Below are 25622 nucleotides of genomic sequence, written 5' to 3' on the forward strand. Positions count from 1 at the left end.
ATGACAGCCACCACCCTCAGCATGGGCATCATCCTCATTATCTTCAATTAGATGTTGAAAGTGCGTGCTCTCATTTTATAAGACCCTGAAGGAGTCAGAGTTGGGAGGAACAAAGCGATTGTTTGCAACCCTCCATCACCAGATGGGATTGGGTTGCTGGTGGAGGCTTTGAATTATGCTATTTTTATCTTTATAAAGAGCTCCGGGTGGCCCATTTGAAAGGCAAATAAATAATAATGATGACAATGGGGAATGAGGGAGAGGAGGGGGAGAAGAATTTGCCTGGAGGAGCTCACCTACATCACTGCCTCTAGAACAGCCTAAGGGACTGATTGATTCCTCACTGACTGCTAAATTCTGCAAGCTCTTGGGGCTGCAGGGTAGAGAAGCTTCTCAGTTTCTTCGGGTTTGTCCATCCTGCCTGTTGGACACTGTCAGGATCTTCCAGATCAGCCAGCCCATCCTCTCATTGTACATATAAGGACCAAAGAGGGACGGTGACTTGCCCAAGGTCACACAGTAGGTCAAGATCAGAGCTGGGACCAGAATCAGAGCCCCTGCCTCCCTCCCCGGTTGGATCTTTCATGCTGCTTCTGGCCTCAGAAGCAACACAGTTTGGCAGGGGCTTTGCTTACAAAGCTTTCAGGAACGGGCTTTGCCCTCTCCCTCTTGCCTACCACGGACTTTCTTGCATTAAAAATTCTCATTGTGGGAGTCTCCGCTATTACTCACTTCTTTCAAAATGGAATGCTAGCAGCTGACAAGGGGCCCGCTCATCTCCAGCACCGGCTAGATCAGGACAAGGGTGGTTTTCCCATCCCCCTTTCACAAAAGGGGAAACAGAGGCCTTCAACACACAAACGAGCCTGTGTTTGCTCATCTCAAAAGGTCTCCGTGGCCTCTCCTTACAAAACAACGAGCAGACTCCCATCTACCTGGTACACTCGGGAGGACTCTAAGACTGCTGTAAGCTCCCCTGCTCAGCCACTGTCTCCCCAAGCCACCTCGCCATGCCCAAGAATCCCCCTTTGGAGTTTCCTGCTTTTGAGTGAGAATGGCATTAATGGAAACCTCCGGGTCGCCATGCTGTTGCGCTGACAGTAAAGGGGTAGTGTGGAAAAAACACAGAAGTTGACGTCATTTAATCTTGCCTTGCCACTCGTTACCCGTCTGACCTTGAGCCCGTCATTTTACCTCTCTGAACCTTAGTTTCTTCGTCTATAAAATGGGGCTCATAATTGGGTCTATGCTACCCCACGAGGGTAAAAGGTGGCACTCTAGTTGTCCATTGCTACATAATAAACCACTCTGCAACTGAATGGCTTCAAAACAACAATCCTTTGTTTTGCTCATGAATTTGCAATTTGGGCAGGGCTGGGCAGAGCCAGCTGATCTCGCTCCCCTCCCCATAGTGTAGGTGGCGGCAGCTGGGGGTGGCTGACAGGGCCTGGGGGTTCCCCTCTGCAGTGGTGACTGGCTTGACTGCTTTCTCCCCACCTGGTTCTCTCCACGGGGCGGCTTGGGCTTCCTTATACCATGGCTGCTGGGTTTCAGAAGTGAGCATCCCAGGAGAAGGGAAAGTAGCTTTGGGCCTGGAAAGCATTACAGCAAACACTTCCATTGAAATCTGTCAGTCAAGCCCAGATTCAGAGAGAAGGGACATAAGAAATAGCATTTATAATTGCAACAAAATACAGCCGTGCCTCGTGTAATGATGGGGATACGTTCTAAGAAATGCATATCCCCAGGCAATTTTGTCATTGTGCAAACACCATAGAGTGCATTTACACAAACCTAGATGGTACACCATACCACACTCCTGGTCTCTATGGCTTAGCCTAGTGCTCCCAGGCTACAAACCTTTATTGCATGTTATTGTATAGAATACTGTAGGCAATTGTAACACAATGGCAAGTATTTGTGTATCTAAATATGGAAAAGGTCATGAGTTGCATTGCTAGGGCGTCACTAGGTGATAGGAATTTTTTAGCACCATTATAATCTTTTTTTGTTATTTAGTTTTAATTTCATAACCATAAACTTAACTCTGCAATCCAGCTAAGTATAGAAGGGAAGAAGGAAAACATGGAACTCAAAGGGAACTGAGCCAGAGCACAAAGATTCTAGAATATGGAGAGCAAAAGGGGTGGTGGGGTGCTCTCCTGAGCTACAGAAGGAATGGTCTGGTGTTTAAGATAAAACACAAGTCAAATTTGTTGGAGTTGTCCACAGTCAGCAATGGTGATCTTCTTGCTGGTCTTGCCATTCCTGAACCCAAAGGGCTCCATGGCCTCCACAACATTCATGCCTTCTTTCATATTGCCAAAGACCACGTGCTGGCCATCCAAACTCTCAGTCTTCGCAATGGAGATGAAAAACCAGGAACAATTTGTGTTGGGTCCAGCATTTGCCGTGGACAAGATGCCAGGACCTGTATGTTTTAGGATGAAGTTCTCATCATCAAATTTCTCCTGGTGGACGGACTTGCCACCAGTGCCATTATGGTGCGTGAAGTCACCACCCCGACACATAAACCCTGGAATAATTCTGTGAAAGCAGGAACCCTTATAACCAAATCCTTTCTCTCCAGTGCTCATAGCACGAAAGTTTTCTGCTGTCTTTGGAAACTTGTCTGCAGACAGCTTGAAGGAGACGTGGCCCAAGGACTCACCATCAATGAACACAGTGGGGTTGACCATGGCTGATAGTACGGGGCTCCCGGCGGTGGCAGTGTCTGCAAAGCGAATGCACCATTATCATCTTATGGGACCATGGTCATATATGCGGTGCAGTGTTGACCAAAACGTCATTATGTAACGTGTGACTATGATTATCTACGTAATTATTTACTGATGTCTGCTTTCCCCAACCGTTTAGATTGTCTTGTTCATTGCTGTATCCCCAGAGCCTAGAACAGTGCCTAGAAAGCAGAAGACCTTCAATAAACATGATTCAATATATAGCTGGATGAATGAACGGAGACCTCTCCCCTGAAATGACAACCCTGGGTCCCTGTAGCTCAGGTTAGGGTGGGGGCAGGGAGGTTATGAAAGGCGCGCCGGCTCCAGCAGCTGAGGCCTGGTTTTGGACCCCAACTCTGGCCCCAGGGTGCTGGGTGACCTTGGGTAAGTCACAGACTTCTCTGTGGGTGTCAGCAAAAGCTAATAAAACCAGACCCCGCTTTTCAACTTGTGTCATCCAAAACTCTGAGTATGACTTGCTTTAATTAAGATAAGAGCACAGTGAAATGTTTGGACTTGCTGTTCATTCTTTGATGTTCAGCCTTTTGCATTGTTGTTTTGATGTCCGGGGTCTTGGAGAACTGGATTTCAGTTCTTGGCTCTGGCTGGCGGGCTGCTGGCCTTCTGCTGTTTGCCTTGTTAAAAGCACTTATGATCTAATAAAGTGAGATTGATGTGGCCTCCCCGGGGATGAAACACTTTCCATTCCCCATACTCACTGTGCTTCCCAGTTGCACTCAAGTTTGCCATGTATTATGTAGCAATTGAGAACTAGGCCCTGGGCTGAGTTTCATTTCATCCTATGAGGTGGGTACTGTTACTGTCCCCATTCTACACATGTGGAAACTGAGGCACTTAGAGGCTACGGGACTTTTCTGAGGTCATGGTAAGTAATTGGGTAAGTAAAGGTATCAGGATCCGGGTCCGGAGAGCTGCATGGTCTCTTGTGGGTTGCTGGTGGCCCTGGCTTGGATGGGAAGCCCACAGGGTACTTGGGTGGGAGCTCGCAGGATAAGAAGCAAGTGAATCTCCATATCTTTTTTTTTTTTTTCTTTGAGACCGAGTCTTGCTCTGTTACCCAGGCTGGAGTGCAGTGACACGATCTTGGCTCACTGCAACCTCCGCCTCCCGGGTTCATGCCATTCTCCTGCTTCAGCCTCCTGAGTAGCTGCGACTACAGGTGCCCACCACCACACCCAGCTAATTTTTTGTATTTTTAGTAGAGATGGGGTCTTGCCATGTTGGCCAGGCTGGTCTTGAACTCCTGACCTCAAATGATCCACTTGCCTCAGCCTCCCAAAGTGCTGGGATTATAAGTGTGAGCCACCGCACCCAGCTGAACCTCTGTCTCTGAGTTTGTTCAGTGACAAAGTCAGGCCTTGGAGAAAGATAACAGGCCTATGAGGTGTTGTCTCTATGAATCCCCATTTTACAGCAGGGAAAACTGAGGCTCAGAGAGGTTGCCCAAAGGGGATTAGAAAGAATAATGGCCTGGAAGAGGAAAGTGCCTGGTTCACTGTCCGGGGTTAAGTCAGGTCAGAATGTCACGGTTGTACCAGTCTTGTGTGCGAGATGTTGACTGAACTGACTTTGGCATCTTACTGCCCAAGAATAGCGGGGATGGGAAGTGACTGGGCCTCCCTGGGGGCAGCCCATTCTGTGTAGAATGGTCCTCAGGAAGATGAAATCATGTAGGAAAACACCCCACATCCGTGGTTCCCACAGTCACTGATGGGGGTAGAATGGGGGGCTGCAAAGGAAGCTGGTACTCTTTACTGGTGCTCAGCTGAAGCTGTGGGTGCCCCCAGGAGCCCAAATAGCCCAGCAACGTCCTCTGCTGTTAGTCTGTTGCAACATTAGAAATTCCACCATGAACAGCTTCTAGAGAAAGCACAACCTTGTTGAGAAGAAAGGAAAGTCACACGTGAGGTCACTTGCACAGTAGCCTAGGAGATTCAGTTTCCTTATCTCAAAAATGGAACCAACACCAACCCCCTCAGGTTGTGAAAACTCCCAACACAGTTCCAGGGGGCAAAGGAGGTGTGTTCTTCCTGAGTGGAGGGGCCCCCCAGCAGACCTGGAGCTTCTGGCCCTGCTGCTGAATGCAGGAGGATGGCAACTCACTGGAATTCTGCTGTGCCCAGGCCTCACCAGCCTGTAGGTACCCAGGTCACACTTATGTTAATATCCAGATGAAGAAGTTTCTTAGACCTCATCCCCTCCAAACACCCCTCCCCAGCCCCAGCCAGAAGGCCAGTTACTCCCGGCGCCTCCCCAAGTGGTGTCCAAACCCCAGCCGGGAGTTTTCTCCACTTCTTGGTGAGATGCCTGGTGACTGCATTGGCCACAGGCGCGCCTGCAAAAACGCTGCACCAGGTGTGGCCACCCTCCACCCTGGTCACCCTGAGCTTCCAGGTGCCACGTTTGTCATGGCCATGGAGGTGCCATGTTTGCCACATCACCATGGAGGTGGTCAAGCAGTGGGCTTAGGCCAACTCCAGTTTGCAAACTGTCACCTGGGCCCTAAGGCAGCCCTTCCAGGGCCCTGGGTCTTGCATGGTCTCCATGACAATGACTTGGGCCGCATCTTTCCCTGTCCTTTTCTCAACAAGACTCAAAACCAAGGTGGAGGACATACCTTTTCCCCCTTTTCCCCCTGTCACGCTCATCTCCCTCATTCTTGACCTCAAGTGCCCAGCTCCTCCCTCCCTCTGTGAATCTTCACCAGAGAGGACCCAGCAGGGCCACCATCAGCCAGACTCTGAATCCCAGCATGGGTTCAACTGGCCCAGCCTGCTACAGAGAGAAAGGGAGTCCCACCGCAGCCCCTCCAGCTGGAGTGTGGGGCATGAGCCACAGCAGACTCAGGCCCTCCATGCTGGCTGGGCAAGCCCCTTCCCTGTCTGGGCCTCTACTTTCACATCTGTGGCTAGACACTTCCCAAGGCCCCCTCCAGCTCAGACATTCTGAGGCCTGATGTCTTCTCTCCACCTAAGGCAGCCAGCAGTGACCAGTCCCTCTTTCCCCTCCAGGCCACACTGGAGCAGCCCAGCCCCTTATCACACGCAGCCGTCTTCGTTGTTTGCATGGTGCTCATTTCCCCTGGCTAAGAAAACATGCTCGCAAAATCAGATTTCCCTGGAAAGCCGGCAGGTTAAAAGGAAAGGAAACGTTGAATTCTGTGGAGTGGGGATCTGAAGGCAGGGACTGACCTCTGGGACTGCCCTCACACTTCTGGGTCCCCTTGATTAGAGGAAGCAGGGCCTGATCCCAAATTCCTGCCCCTAAGTAGTCCCCTCTGCCTCCCTCGGGTCTATTCCAGCACCCACAGGCAGCTGAGGCCTGGGGAGGCTTCGAGCCTTCTCAGGGTCACACAGAGTGTTATTATTTGTTATCATCCAGAACTTTCTGTGGCTCCCCACTGCTGGCAGGGCAAACCCACATGCATCCTGGTGTTCAAGGTACTCTCCCTTTTCCCTTATGTGGCCCTTTGGCTCTAGACATCCTAACTCCTCACCAGCCCAAACAGCCTTGTCTTTGCCACGAGTGCCTCTCCCCCAACCCACTTCTGTCTGTTCAGCTCTCTCTTACTCTTCAAGACCCCACTCAGACCCTGCCTCCTCCAGGAAGCCTTCTGTGACTAGCCCTGCCCACATGATCCTCTCTGAGGGGTTCTGGCCACACCGGGAGGAGCCTGGTCGCTTCTCATCTGTACCCAACCTCTCCCTGGGGACAAACCCTCTTTGGGCCCAGCTGTCTTCTTGTTCAGGGCCTGGTTCCCACTTCCTGGAGCTGGCTTGGCCGGCTCAGGGCCGCCATGGGCCACCGAGGAGAGAACCAAAGGATTTCCTTGGGACTAAATGATACCAAGAGTGGCAGAAGGCTGCTTAAGGGCCCCACCTTGGGTCCTTTCTTAAAAGTGACTTTTCCTGATCTTAACGTGGATAAAGCATGAGTGTGGTCACAGAACAGCTCTACAGCTGTTGGCAAGATGAGATAGGCCTACCTGAGCTCCCACGGAGAGCTGTCCATGATGAACATGTAATCTACAGAATGAAATGTACGTGTGGTGCCATTCGTTTTTAATTAAACAAACAAAGCAAAACGCCTATAATGGCTCATGTGCGCCCAGCACTGGTCTGAGCACTTTGCGTGCATGGACTCACTCGATCCTCCTAATGACCCTGTGCGGCAGGTACCCTAATGACCCCATTTTACAGATGAGCAGACTGAGGTTCAGGGGAGGGATTCAAGCCCTGGCCACAGGCAGGCTCCAGCACCTGTGCTCTCAACCTCTCCCCTGTGCTGCCTGCTGCATTCTCAGTGCTAATCTGTGCTTCCAAACAATACATAACCAAAGGGAGAGAGAAGCCGGGAGGAAGGTGCCACTGGGCCTTGCATGGAGCCAGGTTTGGAGAGAGAAAAATAGGGAGACTTTCACTTCCTCTTCTTGCATTCTGTATTGATTGGTTATCACAAATAATATAATCTATTTGAAAAATAGAAAAAGCAGCACATGCTCATTGTAGAAAACTCAAGAGAGATGAGAAAGGCTTCAGAAACTAGAGTCAGCCTGGGTTCTGGGAGCTGGCAGGGAAGCATACTCAAGGCCAGAGGATTCTAGAAGGATCACCATGAAAATGGGTGAGTAACCAGGCTTATTGTAGGTCTAGTGGCGTCAGGAGCAAGAGCTGACTGCACCTTGGTGTAGAAGGCGCTTTATAACCCATTAGTGCTATTTCACCATGGAAAACGGCAGCCTTGTTTGGTAGTAAGCTGCCCATCTGTGGAGGCATAGGAGGAGATATCAGATGCAGGATTAATGCTGAACTGTTTGCTCTATGTTTCATGTGAGTTAGTCTGTTTCCCAGTCCTCCACCTTTAACTCAGGCTGGACAGAAATGGGATGTACTTACAAGGATGAAGCCCCATGCCTAACTGGTTAAAAAAATAACAAATGATTTAAAAACAGGATTCAGAGGCTTGCACAGATACAGCAGCTCCAAGAGCCCCTCAACATAGGTGGCTTCATGTGATTTTAGAACCTCCCAACATCACTGGCAGAAACATTTTGCAGAGAAGAAAGACGAAAAGCTCAGGGAGGTTTCGACTTGCCCAAGGTCACCCAACTGGCCCAGAGTTCCTGGCTCTGCTCAGTCAGGTGGCCATCCCACATCGGGGCATTTCTCACAGTGATTGTTCATTTCCTTCCAGGGCCCAGCATCCAGTAGGTGCTCAGGTCCTTCATGGGACGGCGTCAGAGACCCTGGTTCTGTTCTGGCTCTGGCCGAATGTGCTGAGCGAGTCCCCCACCCGTCTTGTGCTGGGTTTGATATTTCTGGGCTCCCTTCCAGGTCTCATCTGTCTGCCACCCACCCCTGTTCCTTAGTTTTCTTAGCTTGTCCCCTGACATCAGACCCCAAGGAGTCCTCAGATGGACGGGGGAAGGGGGAGGGCCCGTGGGGCGTCAGGCGCCCTGATGCTTGGACCTTTCTTTCATTCCATGCAGATTTATAGGCGTGTGTTCCTGAGCTCTCATTCACTGTCCACAGCCCAACACATGGCCTAAAAACAACAGATACGATGAAAGAGATCTTGCCTGCAGATGAAAGCAAGAGGGAAACCGGCCTCCCCCAGCCCTGGCCTGGCCCTGGGCCCACTGCACATTGTGGTCAAGGCAAAGTCAGGGCTGGGACGTCTGGAGAAGGCCAGAAGGCTCCTGCCCACCCATGGGCCTGGGGCTTCCAGGGGCCCTGGTGCAAAGCCTCGGATGAAGTACTGGGGGAGGCAAAAGGAAATGGAGGCCCTGTTTCTGGGGGCAATCGGCTGGCATGCCAGGAAGGGGGCCTTGGCAGAGCCTAGAGTCAGACAGGGTGATGACAAATGACCCCGGGGCCCCTCCAGCACCGCCCCTGGGGACTCTGCCTTGCCCACTCTACTCCAGCCACTCAGGCTTCCTTCTGTTCCTTGAAACTCAGCAAGCTCATCTCCCTCCACCCCAGGGCCTCTGCACACAGTGCCCACACCGCCGGAATGCTCTCCTCCGCACCCTCCCGAGACCTCCTCGGCCTTCAGGTTTCAGATTGAATGATGCCTCCTCCAAGAGCCTCCGACTGGTGACCCAATCCATTCTCCAATCCAGCCCTCTGTTTTCTTAATGTACTTGGCACACTTTATAATCATTTGTTGTAGTGATTATAGGTGATTTAATAAATTAACATTTTCATATCAATTAGATTGTTGATAAATTATAATTATTATCATTTATAGATTATTGAATGATTTAATGATTATCTGAAGGCCCCATGAGGATGTGTTCCTTGTGCCCTCTGGGTAAATGGGGCCAGCTCTGCCACCAACTCACTGCTCTGGGCCCAGGTATCAGGTCTTCTGACGATAACAGCAAATGATGTTTAGCTTTTCCTAGGAGCAAAGCATTTTCCACATGACTTTATTTAATCCTCACAGCCACCCAATAAGGCAAGGCAAGGGTTATTTCCATTTTGCAGACGAGGAGACTGAGGGTGAGTGTATCTCAGCTGCAGCCCGGACACAGTCTGCTTGTCCACCATGCCTACCCAACTGCCTGAGTCCCCAGGAGCCTTGCTCACCTTTGGGACTCTCCCATATGTCACATGTGAGTGCTACGGGGGAGGACATAGAACTGGTCATCAGGCAGTGACCCTTAAGGGTGAATTCATCTGTTCACTCCCTGAGCAGATTTCCTTCCAGGTGGAGAAGAGAGGGATTCATCCCAGAGGGAAGAAAGCCAGAGCTCCCCACAGGGTGAGCCACTGTGGGGACCTGGGATGCCACCAGGGGAGACGCATTGGGAGGGAGGGGGCTTTCTCTGCACAGCCGCCACCCACAGACCCCTCTGGCCCTCTCTTGGTCTGTAGAGCGACATCAGTGTTCCCAGGGGGAGGGACCTGGACCCTCTCCTGTGTTGCAGGCGGAAGGTGGGTGGGTGGATGGTGAACTGTAAACGCTGGTCTGTGAGGCGGCCACATGGCACCAGGAGCAGGGTCTTTCGTAGCCTCTGTGCCCCTTGCTCTAGGTCATTCTCCTTCGAAGGATGCCTTCTGAAGAAGCAATCAGGGACAAGGAAGGCGACTTCTGACAGGCAGTGCCCCCAGACTAACCACCCCAAACCCTGTGCCAGCCCCTTCCTGTGCTCAGGAGGCCAGAAATGAGTGTTTATAACCAGCTGTTGGAGTCTGGGGGGGCTGGGATGGAAAGGGAAGAAACAGCTGCGCAGCTTTTGTGCCCTTAAAAAGACAAATCACAAACCGATGCCTCAGGACTCCCACTGTCTACACAGCTGATGGTCAGGGCTTCATACGTGGGCAAAAGTCACGGCATGAGTCTTCATTTGCTCACATGAATGAAGAGAAGAGAGAAGGTTTTAAAATGTCTGTTGGGGGATATTTATGCTATTCTTTAAACTTTTGTATATGCTGAGCTTTTCTATAATAAAAAGTAAAAAAGAAAAATAGGAATGAGGGAGGGAAAGAGGGATGGAAGGAAGGAAGGAGAAAGGGAAAGAAGGAAGAGAGAAAGGAGGGAGGGAGAAAGGAAGGAAGGAGTGAGGAGGGAGGGAGGGAGAGAGGGAGGGAGGGAAGAAAAGAAGGATTCCATATATGATTCCATTTTTTGAGTAAATGAGTCGTGTGTGTATTTGTATGCATGAAGAAAGTCTGGGAGCATATGTACAAAAATATTTACAACTGCTATCTCTAGTAGGGTTATGGGTGATTTTTATTTTCTTCTTTGTACTTTTAATTTTTCTAATTGGGAAGAAATAACACAACTATTAAGAAAAAGAAAGGGGCCTGGGCGCAGTGGCTCACCCCTATAATCCCAGCACTTTGGGAGGCCAAGACAGGCATATTGCTTGAGTCAAGGAGTTCGAGACCAGTGTGGGCAGCATGGCGAAACCCCATCTCTACAAAAAATACAAAGTTAGCCGGGCATGGTGGCTCATGCCTGTAATCCCAGCTACTTGGGAGGCTGAGGTGGGAGGACCACTTGAACCCGGGAGGCAGATGTTGCAGTGAGCCGAGATCATGCCACTGCACTCCAGCCTGGGTATTAGTGGAAGTCTGTCTCAAAAAAAAAAAAAGAAAAGAAAAGAAAGGAATGTCTTGTGTTCTAGACTCTCCTCCATCCACTCAGCATCTCTCTGACTCTGCTTCAGTGACCTCATCACAATGAGCCTCATCTCTCTCCCCAGCAAAATGGGGGCATCACTAATGGGGATGCAGTGAGGACAGAAAGGGGCGGTACTGAGGGTACACCTGGTAGGAGCCCAACACCTGTGTGCTGCCCCCCACACACACTCAGGCACCCACACGAGTGAGAGCCCGCACACACCACAGACCCCGGAAGGACAGCAAGACTTCCTGGCCCCACACATGTGCCCTGGTTCACCCTCGTGCCCGTATGCACAAACACACACGCACGGTGCACTCATGAGTACACGCTGTAACCTGCGTGGGGTGGCTCTGTCAGCCGACCGGGTGGGTGAGAGGAGAAAGCCCCATCCCTTTTCAAGATAAACACAGGAAGTGAGGATCCCACAGTGTCAGGACAAGGTTGGGAGTCATCCATAAACTCCAGGCAGGGGTGGGGGATGGAGAGGGGCCCAGAGAGGGGAGGTGGGGTGTGGGAGTCTGGGCAGGGCCTGAGTTTGACATCTGTTGTCTTGGGTTCAGATGTGAAAAGTTGAAATGGTGACTAAGCTTGGGGGCTATCTTAGCTCTGTCTGTCTGTCTGCCTGTCTGTCTGGGACAATACTTCCCACCCTCACCCACCCCTCTCTCCCCAGTCCTGGGCTTAGTGAGCCAGGTGTTCAGGTCAATCGGAGGCCCAAGGGCCCCCAGCCAGGCCCCCACACTTAGGGAAGCCAGAACCTGTGCTCAGCAAATGCTTGCAAAGGCCATGAGTAGATGGAAAGAAACAGTCATCACGGATTCCAGGATGCTCCCGAATCCAGCACATGCTTGAGTGCGTCCCGGCCCAGCTCAGATCTCTGAGAGATTATCCTGGGGGTAGCTGCCAGGGACTGGCGCCCCAGCCTTCTCCTCCCAAGTCTCTGCTCCTACTTTCCTCAAAGCCTACTGAGTCCCAGGGGAAAGTAGCAACGGGGCCTCTGCCAGGCCAAGGCGGGTGGGAGGGCACAGGGCTGACCACTCAGGGCCTCTGGAGAATGTTGTTGGATGAATGAGCACTTGCTGTGTGCCAGGTACCTTACATCAGCCTTAAATACTTTTCTGGAACAAATCTAGGGTTGGGGGAGAGAAGGATGTTTTCTACCTCACCCCCTAGCCACGCAACTGCCCTCACTTTGCGATGAGGTTACTAGCTGGATCCAAGTCGCACAGTTATAGGTGGTGGCTCCCACCTGCAAGGGCAGAGGGACAGATGGAAACCTTTCTTGAAGCATTCTGTTATGAAACTCCCCACTCATTCCCCTGAGCAAGTGGGGTTGAGTATAGAGTTTCCCTTTCGAACACAATTGCCTGCCCATCTTTTGCTATCAGAAGCCTCCAACCCCACAGCTAGAGCCCCTGGACAGTCCGAGAGCCTGGGCACACCCCACCTCTGCCTGTTGGCCACTTGGGCAAGTTGCCCACATTCTTCACCCTCTCCCTGCACCGGTGCTTCAGGCGTACCTGGATTTCTTTGGCTTCTCATAACCTCACCTGTGCACCTCCCAACCATTATTTCATTTGCTTCTCCCAGCAAACCAGGAGATAGAAAGATTATGTCCATTTTGTCAATGAGGAGACTGAGGCCTGGAAAGGTCATACAGACAATTAGAAGCAGAGCCCAACCCACACCCAGGCAGATTCCAAACCCAACCCTCTTCTCCTAGTCCCAGCTCCTGCCTCTGCCACGGCTGCTGAGTCATTGGTGGTGGCAGCAAGGCTACTGCAGAGACCTCAGGGTCTGGGCTTCCTGTGGCTTCTGCCTTCCTTGTCACCTCCACCTTGCTACCAGCTTGGCCTCAGGCCCCAGACCCAGACTTCAAGCCCCATAAGGCCCAGCACTGCCTAGTCCTTGCCCGGGTACTCAAACAGCTCTCTCTCCCTTTGCTTTTTACTCAACACTTTCAGTCATGTGGTTCCTCTTTCAAATCCTCAAACTCTCTGTTTTTACCTACCCCAGGGATCTTACTGTTACTTCTATTTTTCTCTTTTAAAAAATGTATTCACTGGATGGATGTATGGGTGGGTGGATGAGTGATTGGATGGATGGATGAATGGATAGATGGATGGATGGGTGATTGAGTGGATGGATGGATGGATGATTGGATAGGTGATTGACTGGATGGGTGATTGAGTGGACGGATGGATGGATGGATGGATGGGTGATGGAGTGGACAGATGGGTAAATGGATAAAAATGAGTGATTGAGTGGATGGATGGTTGGATGGGTGGATGGATGGATGGATGGATGGATGGGTGACGGAGTGGACAGATGGGTAAATGGATAAAAATGAGTGATTGAGTGGATGGATGGATGGATGGGTGGATGGATGGATGGATGGATTGTTGAGTGGATGGATAGACTGGAGGGATGAAAGGGTGGTGGGTGAACAAACTTGACTGGATGAATGGATGGATGGATGGGTGGGTGGTTGAGTGGATGGTTAGACTAGAGGGATGACAGGGTGGTGGGTGAACAAATTTGACTGGATGGATGGATGGATGGGTGGATGGATGGATGGATGGATGGATGGAGGAATGAGATGGAAGGATGCTGCTACCGTTCTGCTCAGATTTTGGTCTTCTCTCTCCCCACCTAAGTGCCTTGTACCTACAGTTTTCACCCCCAACTCTAATTTGCCCGGTCCTGCAAAGTTTGAGGGAACAACTGGGAGACCACAGTAACCCTTCTCTTTGGTCCCCAGTTTCAATTCTCCTTGGGGTGTCCTGACAGCTCCTTTCAGGTCCCCAAATCAGCCTCTGGGAGGAAGGAGGCAGCCTTTGTCCTCAGTACAAATGCTTGAATATTTGAGCCTTTTGCCTGTTACAGTGACTCCCACTTTGGGGGTGGTTTTACATCTCTTTAATTGTCTTGAAACTAAAAACAAAACTGAAAATTTCCCTCAAATAATAATGCACTTTAAGGTTAATTAACTAAAATTACTTTTGGTGACTTGATCTTAAACTCTAAAAAACTAGAAAGATTGTTCTTTCTAGAAGTGTTCCAAAGTAAATTAATAAATTTTAAAGGGACACCCATCTCCTACCAAAACACCATGTAGTTAAGAGATCATTATTTAATCGCCCCCAAATCAAGCATGAATATCTATAAGCTGAGGAGCTAAACAACAAAGAAAAAGTGGAGCAAACAAAATCAGATACTCGGTGGGTGCAAAAACACTGAAGGGGGGCGTCAAAAGGTGAACAGGTCATTGGGTTAACAGAGTTTTAGGGAATGTAGCAGACACCCCATTTTTCTCTCCCAGATCCCTTATCCCAACTCAGAGAGACTAGAGCAGGAATCTTCACACCTGAGTTCTTGTCCAGGGGCAGCCTGTGAGCCCTGTGCTCACCTGGTCACAAGAGGCAATCACTAACACTCAGGAAGTACCTGCCTTCTTTGCCCTGGGCCAAGCCCCTCACACGAGGGCCTCACTTCATCCGGACCTCAGTATTGTGATCTCCATCTGCCAGGTGCAAAGCTGAGGCTCAAAACAGGAAGTGGCAGATCTAGGATCAAAGTTCACCTTAAAGAATATCTACCTCATATTCCCATGAATTAGGTAAAGCAACCAAAGTTTAGAGCAGACCAGACCACACAGCCAGCGAGGGCAGACTGGACTTCAGTTGTACAAACAGTAGTGCAAGTGTCGAGTGAATGAGACAGACAGTGGATGCCAGAGCCATCACATGGGAGATCAGTTTCTGCGGGGGTGTGAAGTGGTGGTGAATAGAAGGAGAGATAAACAGCACTGGTCAGGGAGGACTTCCTGGAGGAAGGGGGCATTGACCAACACAGAACATCTGGCAGGACCAGTATCCTCCTGAATTTCCATGGAGGTGGAGGAAAGGAGAACCCTTCTTTTCTCTCCTCCTGGGCTCTCTCGTGCAGTTGGAGTCAACAGAGTAGCCACTGGCCCCCCAACTTTGAGTAAAACCCCATCCCCCAGCAGGGCAAGAGGGGCAGAAGCAGCCAGCAGCCTCCCATCAAGCCTTGACAGGAGTTGTCACCAGTGCAGAGCCAGCGGAGTGTGGTGGGGCCCTGTCTGGCCCCAGCCCCACTGTTTACCTGTCTGGGTTGTTGCTGGAACCATTCATCTCAGTGAAGGATGACATGGCCTCCCTCCTCCCTCCTCCTGCTCAGCTCCTCCACTGGGCATCCACTTCTGCAGATCTCCAGAATGCTCCAAGCCTCCTAGATGCACCCCCTGCATGCCTGCTCCTTCCTGGCCAGCCTTGCCCCAGGTGTGCTCTTCCTCCCATTCTCACCCATGTGCTGAATAAGCAGAGTGCCACTGGCCACATCAAGAGCTACCTGTGTGGCTGCGGCCCTGCTGGGTGCCAGGCTCTGTGATAAGGAAACACCTGATGGCCATCACTTCTTGATCCCTCATCTACATGGTGGCTATGAAGGAAGAGAAAAACAGGTGATCACATTTCTGTGTGATCAGTGAGGTGGGAGAGTCCATATTAGTTATAGTGATCAGACCACGGAGATTGGAGCTGCTAATTCTGCCAAAGGAAGTGGACAGGGATGGGAAAGTGGAGATGGATGGGTGGATGAGTGGTTGAGTGGATGGATGGATTTGTTCACCCACCACCCTTTCATCCCTCCAGGCTATCCATCCACTCAACCACCCATCCATCCTTCCATCCATCCACTCAATCACTCATTTATCCATTTACCCATCTGCGCATTCAATCTCCATCCATTCATCCATCCATCCATCCACTCAATCACTCATCCACTCAATCACCCATCCATTCATCCACCCATCCACTCAGTCACCTATCCATTCATCCATCCATCTACTCAATCACCCATCCATTCAATCAGCTATCCATTCATCCATCCATCCACTCAATCACCCATCCATTCAATCAGCTATTCATTCATCCATCCATCCACTCAATCACCTATCCAGTCAATCACCTATCCATTCATCCATCCATCCATCCATCCATCCATCCATCCATCCATCCATCCACTCAATCACTCATCCACTCATTCACCTATCCATCCATCCACCCATCCATCCACTCAATCACCCGTCCAGTCAATCACCTATCCATTCATCCATCCATCCACTCAATCACCCATCCATCCATCCATCCATCCATCCATCCATCCATCCATCCATCCACTCAATCACTCATCCACTCAATCACCCATCCATTCATCCACCCATCCACTCAATCACCCATCCACTCAATCACCTATCTATTCATCCATCCATCTACTCAATCACCCATCTATTCAATCACCTATCCATTCATCCATCCATCCACTCAATCACTCATCCACTCATTCACCTATCCATCCATCCATCCATCCATCCATCCATCCATCCATCCACCCATCCATCCACTCAATCACCCATCCAATCAATCACCTATCCATTCATCCATCCATCCACTCAATCACCCATCCACTCAATCACCTATCCATTCATCCCTCCATCCACTCAATCACCCATTCAGTCAATCACCTATCCATTCATCCATCCATCCACTCAATCACCCATCCAGTCAATCACCTATCCATTCATCCATCCATCCACTCAATCACCCATCCATCCATCCATCCATCCATCCATCCATCCACTCAATCACTCATCCACTCAATCACCTATCCATTCACCCGTTCATCCATCCATCCACTCAATCACCCATCCAATCAATCACCTATCCATTATGCATCCATCCACTCAATCACTCCTCCACTCAATCACCTATCCATTCATCCATCCATCCACTCAATCACCTATCCATTCATCCCTCCATCCACTCAATCACCCATCCAGTCAATCACCTATCCATTCATCCATCCATCCACTCAATCACCCATCCATCCATCCATCCATCCATCCATCCATCCATCCATCCATCCACTCAATCACTCATTCACTCATTCACCTATCCATCCGTCCATCTCTATGGGAAAGCCATAGAGAGGGGACCATCAAGGATGTCCTTGAAGGAGGGGAGGGTGTTTTCAGGTAGACCAAGGATAAAGCATTCCAGGCAGATGCAGGGTACCATGAGCACATGCACCTGGATACTCCACACATAACCAGCAGTCAGGAGTGACCAGGTGTCTGTGTGTGGAAAGGGGCTGGCAACTTCCACAGGGCTTTTTGAGCACCCTCCTTCTGGAAAGCCCCCTGGTCACTGGTCCTCAACCCCTTCCAGGTTCCTGTAGCATTTGCAGATCGTACTTATAAGACCCTTAAAAGAACAAAACTCACCTTCTGTTGTAACTCTCCCAGCCCATGTTTCCACTATCTGAGGATCACAGACCCCTTGAAGGCAAGAGTTGTGTCTTATATTTCCTGACATTTGTTATCCTCAACCCCTGGCCCTGTGTTTAGTACAATTGTGAAAGCATACTTGATGTTCAAAAAAGATTCATTAAAGTGGCCGGGCAGGGTGGCTCATGCCCATCCTCCTAGTGCTTTGGGAAGCCCAGGAGGAGGATCACTTGAGGCCAGGAGTTTGAGATCAGCCTGGACAGTGTAGTGAGACCTCATCTCTACCCAAAGAAAAAAAATTAGCTGGGTGGTGATGTGCACCTATAGTCCCAGCTACCCTGGAGGTTGAGGTGGGAGGATCACTTGAGCCCAAGAGTTTGAGGTGAGCCCAAGAGTTCGAGGCCACAGTGAGCTGAGATCATGCCACTACACTCCAGTCTGGGTGATGTCATCTCTATTTAAAAACACAAAAATTAATTAATGGAAGCCTTGGTGAATGGATGGGTCGCTGACATCTCTGCAGGTGTGTGTGTGATAAGACCACGCATGGTGAATTCTCAGGACATAGCAGGTGTTCAGGAGATGATGGTTCAGGCCACTATCCTCCTCGCTCATGTGACTCTCAGGAGCCAGGGTGCCTCAGAGCTCACAGGGGACAGAGCTGAATGGGGGGACACTTCGCCTTCCACTTTCTCATCTGTGATGTGGGCAAATAGGAGGTTTCTTCCAGCTAGGACGGCGTTTGGGTCCCGAGCCCTCTGTCTCTCATGCTGCTGCCTAAACTCAGGACACCCGCGGTACGGTGGTTATGCACATGGGTTCTTGGGACTGGCACGCCTGGGTCTGGAACTCAGCTCCCTCCTGTACCCACCATGAATGCTTGGAATGGTCCCTGCCCCTCACTGAGCTTCAGGGTCCCCATCTCTAATCAAAGACTCTGGAGGCCCTTCCCTGGTGAGTTTTCATGGAATGAATGAGATGCAGTGTGCATAGGGGTCCACAGTACTCTCAGTAAATGTTACTGTCATAACCATATTTTAACATCCTAAGAATACCCCCTCCTCCAGGAAGCCTCCTCTGACTGAGCCTAACAGAGGTAAGAATTTCCCCCTTTTTGCTTCTGCTCAGCAGCTCCCAGCTCATATTCTGTAAGCTCTCAGTTTAGGATAGAACAGCAAAGCTGCTCTGGCCCTAGTTCTGGCCCCAACTCCAGTACCAGCTCTGGCCCCAACCCTGGAGTCCAGAGAAGTCTCGTTTGGGCAGTTTAAGTCAGAGGGTCATTTCTGGGCCTGGGCTCCAGGTTCCATTCAAATGGGGGATCCCAGAGGGTGCGGACCATGTCCTGTAAATTCACCCCAGCGGCTCCAGGAAGGCTCCTTGGGGTGTGAGACATGCTGGTGGCCAGCTACCCCCCAGCTGGAGTCCTCACGCTGAAGGCGAGACAGCCTCAGCGGCGGTGGCACTGGCTGTGCCTGACACCCTCACCCGGGACATCAGGCTGCCCTGCCCAGTCACCCACAGGGCTGAGGCCTCACCACATTTGCTGCAATACCCGCTGCCCTTGGGCTCACGGCCATCCTATCTGCGGCAGCCTCTGTGTGAACTCTGCCCCGTGACCCCAGCTGGAATGGAGGATGCCTTCTCCAGCAGCCTCCCATCGGTAGCCAGCAGCAGGGCAGGGCGGGGGCGGGAGCCACGGGACACTGGGGGCTGGGCCAGGCTGCACTGGGAAAAGGGGCGCTTTAGTCCTCAGAAGACCCTGATGGAGACTGCCTTCCCCATGGCCTCTTTGCTCAAAGGTCTGGTCAGAACCCCTGTGAGCATGGAGTCAGGGGATCCCCAGAAAGCAGCGCTGGAGGAGGGGGCCTGCTCACCCTGGGGGAATGGGACCTTCACAATTTAGGTAGGAAAAGAGAAGTGGCTCGGCAGAGAGCCTGCTCCCCACACCCGCTCACCCTGGCCACAGATGTCCTCCCCAGCCCCCTACATCACACCTTGTTGATTTGTCTTCTCCTTAGCCCTTCCCACAACCTGAAACCCCCCACCACACTGTGAGCACCACAGTGTGAGAACAGACATTGTCTGGTTTGTCACATGTCCCCAGTGTCTGGAACAAAGCCTGGCACACGGTGAATGCTCAATAAATACTCATTAGATTAATGACCATACTCATTTAATCCTTACACCCACCCTTCGCTGTAGGCAACATCAGTTCTATTTTGCAGATGGGGAGACTGAGGCTCCAAGAAAAGAGGGGAATTGGCTACTCTGCAAACCCGGTAACCAGCAAAACCTAAATCAAACCCAGGCCTCTCACCTCTTGACCACAAGCCGGCGTGTGATGACACCAACTGGTTGGGTTCAGCATAAAGAAAGAAACAGAGGAACACACTGGCCTGCTGGCTTCTGCTCCCCTCAGGCTGCTTCCCCAGGCAGGTTGTGCAGGCTTTTGTTGGGGTAGGGGGTGGATTTTATTCCCTGAGTTAAGTAACCTGTGATCAACCCCTTGTGTTAACAGCTATCATGTGTAGCCTCAGCCTCCTGCCTTGCCCCTGAGAGGATCTGTGTTAAATTGACACCAGCGATGAACAGTGTGGCTGAGAGGCAGGGATGGGCAAGGAGGGGCAGGAAGCAGGGGCTGGTCTGTGGCCTGTGGACGTGGATAGAGGCTCTGGCCTGGAATTGACTGGATGCATGTTATGTGTACCAAGCGCTGTTCCCAGCACTTCTCATGCATCATCCCAGTTCATCCTCACGACCATCCTTGAAGATCCTCAGCATCATTCTCCCCAGTGTCTGGATGAGGCAGCTGAGCCCAGGAGAGGTTGAGCTACTTGCCCAAAGTCACACAGCTGGAAAGTCAAGAAGCCAGCACTTGGGACCCAGGCGCTGTGGCTCCAGAGCCCACCCATGGCTCTCCCATGTCTGGGGGAGGAACACAGCTTCAGAGCTGGATTCCAACCTGAGTTGCATTGTGTACAAGCTGCCTGAGCCAGCTGCTTAATCTCTCTGAGCCTCGGTTTCCTCAGCTGTGCAATGTGGACACAATACCCACTTTGCAGGGTCCCAATGAGGCAAGGGGTAGAAAGGGCATGGACTGTGCCTGGCACATGGAAGGGGTATGACAAATGGGGGTGGCACTTGTGGTTCATGTCCCATGGCCCGTGAGTGTGCCATGACTGATGTTTCCACTCTAGTTTCATTTTCTAGAAATGCAGGGTCAGTTACAAGTCAGTGAAATCAGCCTCAGCCCAGTCTCAGTCCTTTCTCTGTATCCTGATGGTGCCTGAAATTCTGCCACTGGGGCAGCATTCCCTGAATTGAAAGCTGTGTTCCCGGGTGAAATGCAACTTCCCACGGGTGTTATTATGGCTGGGGAAGGAAGTGATGCTGCACATGATGGCTGTTTTTGTTTTTGTTTTTTGAGGCGGAGTTTCACTCATTACCTAGGCTGGAGTGCAATGGTGTGATCTCGGCTCACTGCCCCCTTCCCGGGTTCTAGTGATTCTCCTGCCTCAGTCTCCCGAGTATCTGGGATTTCAGGCACACACCACCATGCCAGGCTAATGTTTTGTATTTTTAGTAGAGACGAGGTTTCACCATGTTGTCCAGGCTGGTCTTGAACTCCTGACCTCAGGTGATCCACCCTCCTTGGCCTCTCAAAGTGCTGGGGTTACAGGTGTGAGCCACCCCACCCACCCAGCTGTTCGTAGTCATTTTCACCTCCATGTGAATGGAGATTCCAGAATTGCATGCCTTGGTGAAGTGGTCCCCAGAAAACAGGCAGAAAGGGGGTGACTTTGCCAACCTCACAGTTTTCTGCCTGTCCAATGGCAGCCTTGGGTCATAGCCCACGCCCTTGGATACCTTCTTTCGCAGGCCAGGTTTAGAATCCCGAGCACTTCCCTTTCCACCCAAGATGGTGATCTGAATATGACTCTTAGTTCATATTGATAATAACACTTTACTTTGTGTGGCACTCTTTTCTCTTGTTTCTCCAGTGTGAGCATTACACCCCATTTCACAGATGAGGAAACTGAGGCCCGGCGGGAAGTGGCTGGCAGTACCAAAGCCTGGGCTCAGAGCCAGCTCCGGGGCTTTCTCTGGGGCTTGGGCCTGATGGGCCTCCCCCGGGACCACCACTGTCCCCCTGCCCACACTCTTTCCCAACAGAGAGGCCCAGCCCCTGGGCCAGGCTGGGAATGATCTAGGGGGAGGCCCACCCGCCCTGTGTCAAGGCCGTGTGTAAGTGTTTTATTGTTTGCCCGCAGAGGTGTGAATGAAGTAATGGGCCTTCTCCAGCACTCCATCCGTCTCAGGCTGACAGCCGCGCTCCGAGCCCAGGCTGCTCTGTGTAAACGCTGTCACCCTGCCATCCCCGAGCAGGCAGCTTCCTCCGGGAAACTGTAATCAGGGCCTCCCGCACCCGCAGCTGGCCCTGTCCGCAGCTCATAAATCACGCTGCCTTCCCGGAAAGCAGAGGGAGAGACAGACAGGGTGACGGGAGACAGACGAGGCCGGGCGAGGAAGAGACGATGGGGAGGCCGGTGGGGAGAGAGGGAGGCAGTGAAGGCAGGCTGAGCAGGCAGGCAAGCAGGGCGGAGGAACGAGCAGAGATGAGCAGGGAGCAAGGCTGAAGGAGGAGAGGAAAGGAGAGAGAGTGAGAGACACAGAGGCAGAGGGAGAAAAGAGGCAGGAAACAGAGGTACGAGAGAGAGAGAGTCCCACAGAGGGGACACAGAGATAAGGAGACAGAGAAAGGGAGACAGACTCAGAGACAAAGAGAAAAGCAGAAACAGAGACCAGAAGAAAGGTAAGAAGCCAGCAGGGGAAACGCGGAGTGACAGAAACGAAGTGGAGCCAGAGGGAGTGGACAGAGAGAGGGACACACACCTGACAGGTGGCCTCGGCTGGGGACGAGGGACAGGGGTCCAGCCCATCATTTAGAGGAGGGGACCAGGAGGCAGCAGCCTTGCTTCAGCTGACAGGTCCTACAGCTCCCCCTGGCCTGGGCCCCTCCTGGTGCTCAGACCCCCCTCCCTCCACACCTGACCCAGCCAGAGTTTGCAGCCAGCCAGTGGGAGGGCTGCATGGGTGGGAGAGAGGAGGAGGGAGAAGGGGGGAACCTCCTGGACTCCCACTCCAGGGGTCCCCACCCCAGTCCCACTTTCACCCTAGGAGGTCACAGTGAACCTTTGAGGGAAGACAAGTCACTTAGCCAGCAGCCCTCGGGACACCTGGGCCTTGCAGGCACCCGCATGCTCCACACACTCTCACGTCCCCCGGTGTCCACACACACTCAGGCCGCAGGCACATGGGTGAGTGGCCGTGCACACCTGTTGGGAGATTCCCACAGGGTGGACAGGGAGACGATGGGGCTCAAAGCCCTGCTGGCCAGGTGGCCACAGCCCTGGCTGCCACGGGAAAGGCCTTCCAGAACTGGGAGAGAATGTTTCAGGCAGCATTCAGCCTAGCAAGGGATTATTTTCCCAGTTTAAGTCATGAAAGTTGATTTAAAAAAAAATCTCTCTGCCACCAAGCCCTATTATAGGCTGTCAGGATCTAGTGGGAAACAAAATCAAATTTCTGTCTCCTCGACTCCACATCTAGTCAGAGAGACAGACAATCAGCTTACAGAGCAAGCAGCCAGCGCATCACAGAATGAGCGCTGCGGAAGCCCGAACTGTGGGGAAAGAATCAGGGTTTGACTCCGTTATGAAAGGTGGTCAGCAAAGCCCTCACTGGGAGGGGGACCTCTGAGCAGAAACTCGAGGAAAGTGAGGGGGCGGGGGAACAGCATGTGCAAAGGCCCCGAGGCAGGAATGTCCTTGGCACATCTGTGGCTGCAGCAGAGTGGGCAAGGGGAAGTGGGTTAGGGGGTAAGGTCAGGTCCCAGGGGACCTTGATGGCCATTGTAAGGACTTTGACTCTCCATGTGAATGCCAGGGGAAGTCACTAGGGGTGAAGATGACTTGAGCTGACGCATCTGCAAGGGGGCCTCTGGCTGCTGTTTTGAGAACAGACTAAAGCAGGTGGGGGTGGGGAGAGGGCAGAGCAGAGAGCCCCGGGAGGAGGTGATGGGCGACCGAGGCGGAGGTGAGGGAACTCATTCAGGCGAGAGGCGACGGCGCCTGGATGGGGCGGCTGCAGTGGAGCAGGGAGATGTGGTCAGATTTTGGATGTGTTAGATTTGCTGATCGACTGGATGTGTGAGAAATAGAGGTCAAAGATGAATTCAAGGTTTCTGGCCAGAGCGACTGGAAAGAGAGAGTCGCCGTTGACTGTCATGGGAAAGATGGTGAGGATTTGAGGGCTGGGTTTGGATGGGTTCAGTGCAAAAAGCCTCTTGTGCCTCTAAGCGGAGACGATGAGTAGGCAGCAGAGGCTGCTCCCGGGTGATCCAGGGGCTGCGGACTTGGACTTGGAAGCAGCCAGGCTGCAGTTGGTATACAAAGTCACGGAGCTGGATAAGGTTAGCTGGCGATCGAGTGCAGATCGTCCAAAGACTGGGGCTCTATGCCTCATGCGGAGGCTGGAGAGAGAAAGCAAATGCAGGAAGATGAAACAGGAGACTCAGTGAGATACAAGGAGAGCCAAGAGACAGCAGCATCTCAAAGCCAAGTCGAGGAAGTGTTTTAAGGAGTTGATCAGCAATCCTGCTGAGAAGCCAAGAAAGTGGAGCCCTGAGGATGGGCCGTTGGATTTAGCAGCATGGAGGCCACTGGAGACCTGGACAGGAGCAGTTTTGGGGGACATATCGACAGTGAAAACATGACTGGAGTGTGGGCTTGCAGAAGACTGAGAGAAGAGGAACCGGAGACAATGAGTTCAGACAGTTCTTTGGGGGAAGTTTTGATAAATAAGAAGCAAAAAGAAGTGGGAGGGGTGTGGAATCAAGACAAGGTTTAAAAAAAATAACCTTTTTACTTTGGAATAATTTTAGATTTCTAGAAAAATTGCAAAGATACTACAGAGAGTTCCCACATACCCTTCACGCCGCTTTCCCAAATGCTAACATCTTCCTTAACCACAGCTATGTGCATCAGTTGGCGTATCAGTTCCGTCCGTCCCTGGTGCATCAGCTCCATCCACCCCTGGTGCATTAGCTCCATCCACCCCTGGTGCATCAGCTCCATCCACCCCAGGAGCATCAGCGTCGTCCACCCCAGGTGCATCAGCTCCATCCACCCCCTGGGGCATCAGCTCCATCAACACCTGGTGCATCAGCGCCATCCACCACTGGTGCATCAGCTATGTCCACCCCTGCTGAATCAGCTCCATCCAACGCTGGTGCATCAGCTCTGTCTACCCCTGGTGCATCAGCTCTGTCTACCCCTGGTGCACCAGCTCCATCCACCCCTGGAGCATCAGCTCCATCCACTGCTGGTGCATCAGCTCCATCCACCCCTGGTACATCAGCTCTGTCCAACGCTGGTGCATCAGCTCCATCCACCCCCGGTACACCAGCTCCATCCAACACTGGTGCATCAGCTCCGTCCACCCCTGGTGCACAAGCTCCGTCCACCCCTGGTGCATCAGCTCCATCCGCCCCTAGTGCGTCTCCTCTGTCCACCCCTGGTGCACCAGCTCCATCCACCCCTGGTGCATCCGTTCCGTCCACCCCTGGTACACCAGCTCCATCCAGCTTCGCTGCATCGCTATGGGCCTTGAAATGTGCCAGGTGAGTGTGGTGGAGCATAGTCTAGCTGGGAACAAAGAAGTAGAAAAGGCAAGTCAGAGGCATAGAGCCAGGAGGGGTCAAGCAGGGGACCTGGGACAGGACTTGGCCTCACTATGTCCTAGTGAGTGGGGATTGGTGGTTAACTCTAGCCCTCTGCCTGCTCCCCACTTTCTTTGTTTGTGCCTATAATTCACTTTATGTATAAGGTGAGCTTTGCTCTTTTCAACCGACCATACTAATGTCTCCAAAATGAATGGATGAATGAATCCCATTCTTCTGTAAGACCCAAAGCCAACATCTTGATGCTTGGTTGCAGAGATCAACATTGGCACCCAAATCAAGACTTTACACACACACACGTACCCACACATGCAATCACACACACACACACACACACACAATCACACACGGGCACCTTGCAAATTGCTCTCCCCACCCCTCTTCTGGAAACTACAATTTTACCCTCATACAAGTCCGCAGTCCCTTATCTAAAACCCTTGGGGTCAGATACATTTCAGACTTCAGAATGTGTCTGATTTTAGAAGGGGAATTTGGTGCATATACCATAGATTTCATAATAACCTCTGTAGGGCCTGAGCAGCACTCAGTAAGCAAACGTGACTATTTCTGCAGTGAAATGTGTGAATATTCACAGTAAGTGGGGGAAAATAAAGGCCATAAATAGCCTCATGACATTTCAAGTTGTGTTTTACCAGACTTATGAGTTAATAGAAAACAC

At 51.7% G+C, this 25622-nt stretch overlaps 1 pseudogene, besides 1 other annotated feature; it reads right to left on the minus strand.

Annotated features, from left to right (window-relative positions):
* On the minus strand, positions 2009 to 2741 carry PPIAP34 (peptidylprolyl isomerase A pseudogene 34; annotated as a pseudogene).
* Positions 4713 to 5404: an enhancer, noted in NCBI's record as "H3K4me1 hESC enhancer chr1:22651838-22652529 (GRCh37/hg19 assembly coordinates)". NCBI's record gives its function as "activates a minimal SCP1, AML or CMV promoter by ChIP-STARR-seq in naive H9 embryonic stem cells {active_cell/tissue: H9 hESC(naive)}" and the evidence as "EXISTENCE:reporter gene assay evidence [ECO:0000049][PMID:30033119]".

This window comes from Homo sapiens, chromosome 1 (assembly GCF_000001405.40).
Source record: "Homo sapiens chromosome 1, GRCh38.p14 Primary Assembly".
NCBI lineage: Eukaryota > Metazoa > Chordata > Mammalia > Primates > Hominidae > Homo > Homo sapiens.